Here is a 12300-nt window from a genome sequence, read left to right as displayed (position 1 = left end):
CAATGTCAGCTGTAACTATTTAAAATGTTAAAGTAACCATGTAGACATATTCAGTTGAAAAGTTTTCTGTGTAGAAAGGAGTGGGTACAAAGAGCATTAATACACTGCCTTTGCTATCCAGTTAAAATAGTCAAAGACCATAACGTCCAGCACTGTTGAGAAATCATAGGGCAGAAAATAAGTGCTAGAAGAATAATGTGTTGTGGGAGTACAAAGAAGGAACTAATTATTTTTTTTTCTGGTGACTGAGTAAAGGTTCCTGGCTGAACATGGAAAATATATAATAAAACTGTAAAGTACAAAGGTGAAATAAATTTCCTATAAGCTGAAGTATTTTTTAAAGTAAGCAAGACTTTCTTTGAAACATATATAGGTACATACATATATACATTCTCAAGGAACATGTACATGCATGTGTGACACAAACATACACATACATGATAGCCTAAAATTCTTAAGTTTTGTAAAATATTTTGAAATATATGATGGGCATAAACAACAGGGAACCTAAAATGACAAATGAGTTTTCAACAAATTAATTTTGGGAAATGGAATTCCAGGTAGAATGAATAAGAATATAGAAAAAGTCTACCTGGTTGATAAATGTAGTTAAATCAGGAAATAAACAGCAATAGCCACTTTAAATGAAGCGTGCCCACAAAAAAAAAGGAAGAAAAAAAAAAGCTCTTTTGTATTGGTGGGGAAAAAATGTTACGCAAAAAAAAGCTCTTTTTCATTGGTGGGGAAAATTTGATCAGACAAAATTTTCATTTAAAAAAATCCATACCATCTCCAAACCCAACTTTTAAAATACTTAAACCAAAGATTATTTCTAAATTTTTCCTCATACTATTTCCCTTACAGCATGATCATAATCACAAGAAATGGATAAGCCATACTGTGCCTTACCCCCAAATTTTTATTTCCAGTCCAATATGTGTGACTGAAATAAAGTTGTTATAGCTTATCTCAGTCAGGCTCCTGCATGTCACTGGCAATATTTCCTTTTGGATAGCTGCTACTATGTACAAATGAGACAAGAAGAAAGAAGAAAGGAGATGTGATGCTCCCCTGTTTTCCCCTAACCTTTTATTAGGTAATGAAAGAAAATGTGCCACATACGCTTCTGTAATATACTTTTACATGCAATATAAAACCATTTATGCAAGATAAAGTTTTATATTTTTATGCTACCAATTTCAAAACCTGAGTTAAAGTAGTTTACAATGCAATAAAAATAAATTAAAACTATTAAAAACTAAAATAGTAAGAAATAAAGGGAAAGGCTGAGAAAGTAAATCATACATCTGAGGAAAGCTATTGCAATTAAGCACAAAATAGCTCTAAGCTTCCTAGATGACAGAGCAAAAATAGAAATAAGATGAGTGACATAGATTTCTTTGTCTAATAAAAGGGGAGGACTAGGGAGGGGCAACAGTCTTTAATGTATGCCATGCAGTGTCTTCAGCAACTTACGTAAATAATTTAGTTATCTCAAAAACCCCATGACATAGATATTTTCCCCTTCCTTCTTTCAGACATAGAAACTTAGGTTAAGGGAGGTTAAGAAATAACTGTACAAAATCAAAAATCTAATAATCTCTTACCCAAGGTTTCGATTAAGATTCAGATTTTTGTCTTAAGTCCTATATTCTTTCCATTTTAACATACTGAACTTAAAAAAATACACACACATAAACATTCTCCAGAGATTATTTTTCTGAGTCCAGAGAGAATTCTGGCTGGTGGGCCTTTATAAGAGATAATAAAAATATAATAGTGATTTTAGTAGTATTTTAAAAATACAAAGGTATGTTCATGTACATATAGTCTTTCCTGATTATCAGTGAAGCCCATCGTCTGACTACCAATGAACTATTAAGGGGAAATGCTAACCTGCAGTCCTGTGAATAAAATTCTACATTAAGCTTTATCTATTAGAGCATCTCAGCTGTCCTGACGACTGACTTCCTTCTCACTCAGTTGGAAAAATATTCATATCATTCATACATTTGTCTGAATAAAAGTATCGTATTATTCAAATAATCCCATATAGAAACAGATTTCTATTTCTAAAGCTAACTGCTTGTTTAACAAAGTTTCTTGTTAAAAAGATATTTTAAAATGAAAAAACAACTCCCTGCCAGCCCCCAGAGACCTGTTATCATAATTTCTGCCTTGCAATTTTCCTAAAATACATTCACACAAACGTTCACTTGGCACATCATATCTATAGCTCTTGGGATACCAGAATGTCATAAATTTTCACTTCCCAAAAGCATATCAGGCCAAAACACTTCCACAGGCTTACTAAAATAATAAACATAAACCTTGCTTAAATAGTTTTGAGAACACATGAACAGAAGCACAATGTTCTAATATTGTCTCCTATATACATTATTTAGAGCCCCATATTACAAGCTCCAATACAATGCTTATTTTTCAGTTTTATGTTCCTTTCCTAACATTATAGTTGCTTTCCATATTCATTTACTCAAAAATTATTTATTGAATCTGTAAAATAGCAGGCACTGCAAATACAAAAAGGAGAATAAGAAATTGTCATTTTTCTCAAGGAGCTCACAGTTTAGGAGAAACAGAGACAATCAAATCAACGATTAGTTGCAAACAACTGTAATACCTATTACACTAAAAATTAAAACAAAAAGATTTAACTGAGAACAGGAAAAGTTTAAAAAGGCTTTGCATACAGGATTATTGATCTGTTATCCTCTTAGTTTTAATCACAATTTTCAATTAAAGTAATGCTTGTTTTTGTGTTCAGCATTAACTTAGAGAAAAATTAATGTCAAGGTCTCTAACAGGGAATGTGTTTTTCTAGGAAACTTTTCTTTCAAAAGAACTGTTATAAAATGCAATCTAATTTTATGGTGAAGGCACAGGCTTAATTCTGATAAAGAAATTTAACACTGCCTTTCCTCACAGAGCTGGCTGCTTTGCAGAGTCAACCATCTCCCACATGGGCTTAGTCTGCAACTTTTCTCACACTGTCCACCCACCAACAGGACACTATTTGTGGTGATGGAACTGTGTACTATATCGTGACTATGGTGGCGCATTCAGGAATCTACAAATGATAAAATGTATAAAAATAAATACACCAACGAGTAAAACTGCAAAATCTGAATAAGACAGGTAGATAGTATCAAGGTCATTATCCTAGTTGTGGTACCATACTATAGTTCTGTAAAATGTTACCTTTGGCAGAAACAAGGTAAAGGCTACCTTGGATCTCTGTATTGTTTCTTTTCTTTTCTTTTTTTTTTTTTTTGAGACGGAGTCTCGCTCTGTCGCCCAGGCTGGAGTGCAGTGGCGCGTTCTCAGCTCACTGCAAGCTCTGCCTCCCTGGTTCATGCCATTCTCCTGCCTCAGCCTCCTGAGTAGCTGGGACTACAGGTGCCCGCCACCACGCCCGGCTAATTTTTTGTATTTTTAATAGAGATGGGGTTTCACCGCATTAGCCAGGATGGTCTCGATCTCCTGACCTCGTGATCCGCCCACCTCGGCCTCCCAAAGTGCTGGGATTACAGGTGTGAGCTACGGCGCCCGGCCTTGTTTCTTACAACTGCATGTGAATCTATAATTATCTCAAAATATAAAGTTTAACATTTAAAAAGTTAAAATGTTTTTTCAAAGTTTACCAGTTAGGAGATGAGAGAATTAAGGTAGGGGAGAGGGACATTCCACAAAAAATTAAAAATATAAGTAATATTTTGTCTAAGGCCAGGTGTTTCAAATTATAGTCTCTGGACCACTGCATAAAAATACCTGGGATATTGTTAAAAGGGCCGAATCCTGAGCCCAAATCAAGATTTACTGAGTCATTAATCAAAAAAACACAGTTGCTTACTTTTTTCAGTCAGATTCTCTGAGGATGGAGGCCAAAACTTGCCATTTTATCAAGCTCCTTGGTGGCTCTTATGTTTACTGTGATAAGGTGTGGATACATGAATCGTAATGTAAAAGACCAGAAAGGAAAACTGAAATAAAAGATGGCTCCAATGACACCTAACATAAGACTAAATATTTCCAGTGATTTTAAAAAAAAAGCTTTGAAGAATTGTTCAAATTGTAAGGGATAGAAAATTCTTGCTTATCGTTAAGTCAAAATTTGCCTAAATTTCTCCTTTAAAACTCAGTTCCAAACTCAGCAGCAATATATAATAAAATTTAGCCTTTTTTAAAACAGGAAAGATCATCAAATATTTGAAGACAGCCATCATGTCCTTCTTAGTCCTATACTTCTAAATAAACAATTCTGTTTTTTTCAACCCTACATCATTTTTTGAGACCCTTTATCATCCTATTCACCTCTTGCCCAGCCCCACTTTTTCTTAAAAGCTTGATTCTGTTGATACCTTACACTTAACATTCCATACTTTGTGTCATTCACAATTTTCCAAGTAAGTTGTCTATATATACACTAAAGTCTTTGATTAAATGTTAAACACAAAAGGATTGGATTGAAGATGCTCTGAAAAGTACTAGAAAACTGACTTATAGGTCAACATCAAGTAATTAACCACCAATGTGGGGGATATGATCATTTATCCAGCTATAAAATACAGAATGACAATATCAACAAGATAAAAGGGAATTTAAGGCCAGACTTCCTAAATTTAATTTCTATCCAGGCAATTTGCAATTCTATAAATCTGAGGACAACATCAACTTGCTCTCATTTTGGCTTGTAGAAAACACACAACGGGTAAAAGTGGATTTTTAGTGAAAGAGAAGGTAGTTAGTAAACAAAAAGGGGATTAAATGCATGAAATTATGATTAAGCTTTTATAAAGCTTTGATACTTAGTTGTTTTTAAAGATTTTTCTCTGGCATGAGGAATAAAATCAAAAGACTATTTTATTTGGTATTCTACCTTTCAACTAGTCTTAAAATTGTGCAATATTTTTATATTTTCCTGCTGTCAAACTCTTTTTTCAAACAAAATCTTACATGGAATCCTAATATATTAAACAAGTAAAAGTGAAACTGCTCTCACTAAAATTAGGGTGAGAGAATCTGACCTCCAAAACTCCATTATCCTTCTACGTCTTGCAAAGAAACCCTGAGGTTCAATGAACTATGGTTTGAAAGCCACAGGTCTAAGATAAGGTACATGTTCCAATATCCAATAATGTACTTCCTATACGTGTAAAGAAAATGTTTTCTTTGTTTTGTGCTATTAAAGATAGTATTTTTTAGATGATATTGGTACATATATTTTATTTTGCTAATTTTGTCACATTTTCTCAATGTTTTTATAAGACAGAAAAGTAAGTTACATTGGTTACCATTTTAACTGCAATGGATCATTCCAGTTGATCTCTGAGTCCTTTGTAGCCCTAAGACCCATGATATCCTTTTACACAAGTAACTTTACACCTCTGCACTCTTTATAATTTCCCATTCATCAATCTTAGTCTGAAGAGAATTGTGTTAAGAAGGATTAAGGGCTCAAAATAAAAGAATGTCAAGATCAGTGGATGTAAAACTAAGGAGTTGGGGGTCATGTACTTGCCATTTTTGGTCTAGGGCAGTGTTTTTCAAACTCTTGATTATGACCCATAATATTAAACCATTTAAAACCATTACTGAAACTGAAAGAAAGGCTTCACAAAATAATATTCACTCAAACTATTTTTACTTATTTATTTTTTAGAGACAGGATCTCCTTCTGTCACCCAGGCTGGAGTGCAGTGGCACTATCATAGCCCACTGCAACCTTGAACTCCTGGGCTCAAATGATCTTCCCACCTCAACCTCCAGAATAGCTGGGACTTCAGGTGTGCACCACCATGCCCAGCTACCCAAACTATTTTCTATTTTATTTCATTCTAATTTATTTTTTAAGGCTAGCTATGATCGATTTAAATAGTAGTAATGATTGATAAATCATAATTTACAACCCATTGATCTTGACCTGAACTACAAAAAAACACTAGTTGGATCAGAAGTCACAGACTTTTTCTGTAAAAATCTTGATAGTACATATTTTAGGCTTTGTAGGCCACATATGGTCTCTGTTGTAACCACACGACTCTACTGCAGTAGGGTAAAAGCAGCCATAGACAGTATGTAAACACAACCATAGCTGTGTTCCAATAAAGCTGCATTTACAAAAGCAGGTGTTGAGCTGGATTTGGCCTGTGGCCATAGTTTGATAACCTGTGGTCTATACTATAGTATACTGACCTACCCCAAAATCAGCAGTTAAAGTGGTAATATCTCCATATTACTGATGAAATACCTAGAATACTAAAAGGTTTAAGTGATGTACCCAACTACTGAGCAGGAGACAAGTATACTGCATCATAATATAATGCTTCTCCCCCCCTATACTACTCCACACATGAGAGATGCAGTTAATGAGTTTTAGCATAATTGCTATGAGTTTTAGCAATACTGAACACCACACATTACACAAATCCAGACTGTACTCACCTTTATTCACTCACTCACTCATTCATTCAATCAACCAATAGTATACCTATTGTATAAACTACAAGGAGAATTTATACAATTAACTCTTAATTATACCAGAGAGGATATATCATAGCTTAAAAATAAAAGACAATGATTGTGAAAAAAAAGTAATAAAACTATTAAAAATCTGAAAACATTTACATTTTAAAAAGCATCATTTCTGAACTCCACAGCAAACAATAACGATACATCATCACCTCTCTTCCAAAGAAGGAATAATCTCTCAACCTCAATGTCAAGTTTATTGCTCCTAAACTACTGTCTTTATGCTTAAGTTACTATTGGGTAATATAATAGTTTAGGACCTTATGAACCATGTTTTTTATTATTCTGCTTTAATTCTGATTTGGAGTTATATATAATTTTCTTTGACTCCAATCTCCAAATTATTGAAAAGGTGGTTGTATGAAGAAAAACTTACCTTTCAGATTGAAGCTTAGTGGTTTTTACTATTAAATCTTGAGTCTGTTCCTTTGCTGCCTAAAATTATAAACATATCTAATATAAGTAAATTCCAATTTTATTATATTTCAGAAAACAAATACTACCACTTACTGCAATTTAGACTTAAAACAAATGAGATCACTCTATGGAACTCAAAAGCACAATAAAATGAAATACGTAGATGTTTCAAGGCTCATCCACTGGAGGAACACACTCAGTTCTTAATATACACATAATGCTAAGGCTTACAAGAAAGAAAAAGGTATCCAGATACTGACAAAGGAACTTAATAGTTCATGATGCTTTTTAGTGCAACAGAAGCACTGGAAAAACAAGTTAAGAATGAAGAACATGACTTCAGGTATGGACGTGTTGAACTGAGATACCATGCAACCTTTACATGGGGTTGTTAACTAAGTCACTGAAATGCTAGTGTGGAGCTCAATAGAAATGTATAAGATGGAGGTAAAAGTTTGAAAGTTGTAATATACAAACTACCTGCCATATAAGTTTTTGGTGAGGATCAGAGCTAGCCCCATCTAAAGGACACAAGGCTGTTCCTAATCAACTTTCATTCTAAGCAATTCTCCCTTCCCTAAGCCAGAGTTGATCAAAAGTGGAAAGTCAATTAAAAAAGCATCTTATCCAAGATTAGAAAACATTCATGAAGTGGCTTTAAACAAAAGACAATGAGATTCTCTCTCAAATATCTGAACTAGGGAATATTTACAAAAATAAGGCAATAAACAATAAGAAGAGAAGTAGTCATGAGGCACGTAGAGAAACAAGGTCTGTGCCTTGAAGAAATATTAAATGAGCCAGAAAGATGCATAAATTAAGTCATTAGTAAAGTGGAGAAAAACACATAAAATAGAAGGTGAATCAGTCTGTTAAAGAGAAAATACCAGAGCAAACACCTGAAGACACTGGGTCATTTTCATGTTGGAATACCACAATAAAGAGTCAAGCTTCTGCTACTGCGGTTTCTTTCTAGAGCTGCCTTAGACCTAGACACCTCCAGTTCTGGGTTCTTAGAGGCCTAATCCTCTACAAACTCAGTTTTCAGACTGTGAGGGAAATTCTCTGTCTTATTGCTTTCTAGGTATGCTGTCAATAACAGAGCCTGATTGCCACCTCAAATGAAGCTATTTTGAGTGTATGTTCCCAGGAAATAGATTTTTTAAGAAAACAATTTGAACCTAGATAATTTTGCATATCCCTTATCTTTTTTTTTTTTTTTTAAAGAGGCAGGGTCTCACTCTGTCACCCAGCCTGGAGTATGGTGGTGCAATCTTGAGTCACTGCAGCCTTGACCTCCTGGGCCCAAGCAATCCTCCCACCTAAGCCTCTAGAATAGCTGGGACTATAGGCATGTGCCACCATGCCTGGCTAACTTATTAAAAGTTTTTGGTAGAGATGGGGTCTTGCTATGTTGCCCAGGCTGGTCACAAAGGATCATTCTGCCTCAGCCTCCCAAAATGCTGAGATTACAGGTGTGAGCCACCACGCCCAGCCATTTCACTGACTTTTAAGGAATGGAGCTCAACATGATAGCTCCCAAAATATTCTTTTAGAATTATTAGACTGCCAATAAGTTCTTCAAATGCTCATACTTCTTAAATGCTAAAGTTCCATTTCCACCCTTGTACAGTCTTGCCTTGTGCAATTTTTAAAATATAGTATCCCCTCAAGTCAAAGATATGTTTACATTTTAATATTTCTGAAAAAAAGAATGCTTCACAAAATCAACATCAAAAAACCTTTACTAGCTTTTTAGGCTAGTCGTTATTGAGGGTGCACCTTACAATCAACACCATTTATTAATCAATGAAATATGATAATTTAGCACAATGTTATATAATAAGAATTTGCTAATTTTTTTGCATATTTCCTGATTTTTTCATTTATAAACTATGGTAAGAATTCCAAAGTAATATTTAATAATATTAATGAAGATTAACCTCAATCTCCATTTATCTTAAATGTTAAAGATGATTATTTTTGAGTTAATAATAAACATATGCATCTAAATGCATGTTTATTATTTAAACATATGCAAGGAAAACCACAAAGGAATAAATATTAACATATATAAAATGACTGATTACATTTTTAAATGTTTTCTAATAATTTCTAAAAGGTACCATAGTCAAAGCATTTCAGAAAATATTAAATAATTAAATGAATCATTATAACAACATTCTATAAGAAAAAGGGAAAGTGAGGATACTCTAAGAAACACTTTTCTTTATGAATAACTTAAAAACATTAGAGTTGATATTATGAATGTATACTATTAGAATTCCAATAGTGCTATATCCAAATAAATTAGCTTTAAGCAAAATTTTAAGGAATAAACAAAACTTTCAAAATCATGGACCTCCTACTATTAAAAATGATATGTGGATCAAAAACAAATGTAAACAATAGGCAGTATTAAATATTTTTAAATATTCAATCAGAAAGCTATGAGGCAATCTTTTATATGTGATAAAAATGTTCTGTATCTTGATTATAGTTGTTGTTTCACAGGCATATAAAAATGCCAAGCCTATCAATTTGAACACTTTGAATGGATGCAGTTTATTACCATTCATAAATTATTCCTCAATAAAGTTGATCTGAATAAAGAAAGAAAATAGGCCCATGCCACTGCAGAAGAAAAAACAGGATGTGAGGTGGGTGCAAAGAAAATATAAAGGACTGGCCGGGCATGGTGGCTCATGTCTGTAATCCCAGCACTTTGGAAGGCCGAGGTAGGTGAATCACTTGAGGTCAGGAGTTCGAGACCACCCTGGACAACCTGGCGAAATCCTGTGTCTACTAAAAACACAAAAATCAGCCAGGCATGGTGTCAGGCGCCTGTAATCCTAGCTACTTGGGAGGCTGAGGCAGAATTGTTTGAACTCAGAAGGTGGAAGTTGCTATGAGCCGAGATCACGCCACTAAGGATACAGCGAGACTCTGTCTCAAAAAAAAAAAAAAAAAATACAAAGGACAAAACAGAAAGAGACACTTTGGTTGTAATTTAAAATATTTATAAACTGTTTGAAAAATAGCACAAATAAAAATACTATGATCTTTTTATATTTAAATCTCTCTATGATGAAAAGTATAAAAACATAATTAAGGATACAAATTAAAAAATAAGAGATACTATCACTAAAGATCAGAAACTGAGTAGTCTAATATAACAAAGCATAATGTTATTTAAAAAACACAAAAGTACAATATAGAAAACCTTATAAAGTATAATTTGAGAAAAGGCATTACGTCATGGAAGCTAAAAGAGGAGAAAAGGAAATAAAGTTAAAGAAAAAGAAGGGTCAAACAAAATCAACCACTGAGGAATAAAGTAAATATATGCCAAAAATGTGAAATGGCCATTAATAATTAGTATATATTATATAATTATTTAAATATTGTCAAATTAACAAATATCTAAATATTGGACTAAGAGACAATAAACATGCCAATAATATCTGATAGATTAGTAAGAATATCAAAATTTAGACAAGACCAGAAAAGATAAAATTTTAGAGAAACAAGAAATTAACTCATCCTGCAAACTGATGATGCAAGTAGCCTGTGATTAATCTGTAGAATATGCATTAATGATTCTTCCTAGAATCACTGTTGATGTCAATCGTTCCAAGAGACACTTAGAGATATAAATTCGCTGTTAAAATGTGAAGGCAGTAGACATAATCATGATTGGCCCTTAGGAGGAAACCGTTCTATGTACTATTCCAAAATTAGATGAATGAGGTTAATTAAGTCAAATGCTGATTCTGCTACCAAACTATAAGTTTAGGACTGCTTTCATTAAAAGACCTAAAAGTATACATATTTTCCCAGAATTTTTTAAGGTTATGCATAAATCAGAATTAAGCTAGGTCTTTATCAGGCACAGCTTTAGTGTGAAATTATTCCTAAGGCTTCTTACTAAAAAAAATCATTACTCCTAGATTTCTAGAATATTACGGAATTGAAAGGTTTATCAAAATTCTACGTAGTTAGCTCTGTACTGGCTAGACCAAAATATAAATGCTCTAAAGTTAATTGAACAATATTAATAAATCATTATCCAAAGAAACACAAAGATAGCTACAATTTTTAAAAATAAGGATTATATTTATACCCAAATTTCCTACAGGGCATTATGGATTAGATATCTACACATTTTGTCAATAATAATTTTTGTAAGTTTATATCAGGAACTATGCCAAAATCTAGCCATTATATAATACCTGTAGGCGACTTGTCATATCTTGACAACAGTTGCTCATTGCTTGAACATCTTCGCTTATGCTTTCAAGTTCCTGAAAAGAAGAAAAGTAACATCAAACATCATATATACAGCAAGAAGAAGATTCTCTTCTGTTAGCTAAATCCTTATTTTAGTTACATAATTTTTTATTTTTTTGGTCAAGGCATGACAAGAGATCCCATATTTAAAATTGGAAATGATTAAAAAGAATAACATCTAGTGTTAGAAAAAATGTAAAGAAAATAGTCCATTCCTTTTAGAGAATATGACCGCAGGAAAACAGCAAATGCTTTATAAAACTGAATATCCCTTTATTGCTAGTGTTATTCAATTGCAGTTACTCTTATTGATGTTCAAATAGTCTTATGTTTGGCCAGTAGAAGAATCCTCTTCACATTAGCTCCAAAGTCCTTTTGACATGTATCCAATAGTCTCAGATAGCATCTTTGCTTTCTGATACTGGTAAGATTGTTCCTTTTAGTAGGAAATGATGTTTAAAAGAGCCAGGCATGGTGGCAGGCACCTGTAGTCCCAGTTACTTGGGAAACTGAGGTGGGAGAATTGCGTGAGCCCAGGAGTTCGATGCTGTAGTGTACTATGATCATACCTGGGAACAGCCACTACACTCCAGCCCAGGCAACATAGCAAGAGTCCATCTCTAATGTAATTTTTTTTAAAAAAATCCTTTCCAAAGTATTAGTCTTCAGTCAATAAAAACCTACCAAGGTGTCAAAAACAACCTATTTTTATTGAACACTCATTGAAACCATGTGCAACACTTCCATAACTCACATAGAAATATATTAGTATTACAATGTATTAAAACAGCTAATAAAATATTACATAATAAAGATATAATAACATAAAATTTATTTTCACTCTGTGGTGAGTGGACTACACTCTCAAGTATGATGAATCATTATTAATACATTGAAGTTACTGATCTTAATCTGAAATTTTCATATTTTAGGATATAGTAAAAGTAACTCAATTCTAATTAATCTCCAGTAGAGAAGTTGTTATCCAAGAGAGGTTTATGCAATGAGGGGATATTTCTATTGGAAAGCCATTCAGGGAAATGT

General features: G+C 33.2%; 1 protein-coding gene and 1 non-coding gene across 5 annotated transcripts in view; one reads left to right on the top strand and one right to left on the bottom strand.

The window, feature by feature from the left end:
* COG6 (component of oligomeric golgi complex 6) overlaps window positions 1-12300 on the bottom strand; it is a 136040-nt gene that overhangs the window by 119587 nt on the left and 4153 nt on the right. For all 4 annotated transcript variants that reach the window (NR_026745.1, NM_001145079.2, XM_011535168.2 and 1 more), the window contains 2 exons: window positions 11199-11270; window positions 6926-6984 (listed from right to left, as the gene is read on the bottom strand). Coding sequence is in view for 3 of the 4 variants with exons in the window: in NM_001145079.2 (NP_001138551.1) it covers window positions 6926-6984; window positions 11199-11270 (131 nt within the window). In the remaining variant the exon portion in view is untranslated. The remainder of the gene's footprint in view (window positions 1-6925; window positions 6985-11198; window positions 11271-12300) is intronic.
* On the top strand, window positions 7945-8046 carry MIR4305 (microRNA 4305). The gene has a single exon (NR_036190.1). It is a non-coding gene; the product is annotated as a microRNA 4305 (primary transcript).

The sequence above is a fragment of the Homo sapiens genome, chromosome 13, assembly GCF_000001405.40.
Source record: "Homo sapiens chromosome 13, GRCh38.p14 Primary Assembly".
Lineage (NCBI taxonomy): Eukaryota > Metazoa > Chordata > Mammalia > Primates > Hominidae > Homo > Homo sapiens.
The sequence above is the reverse complement of the archived record's forward strand: the minus strand, read 5'-3'. Positions and strand labels throughout refer to the sequence as shown.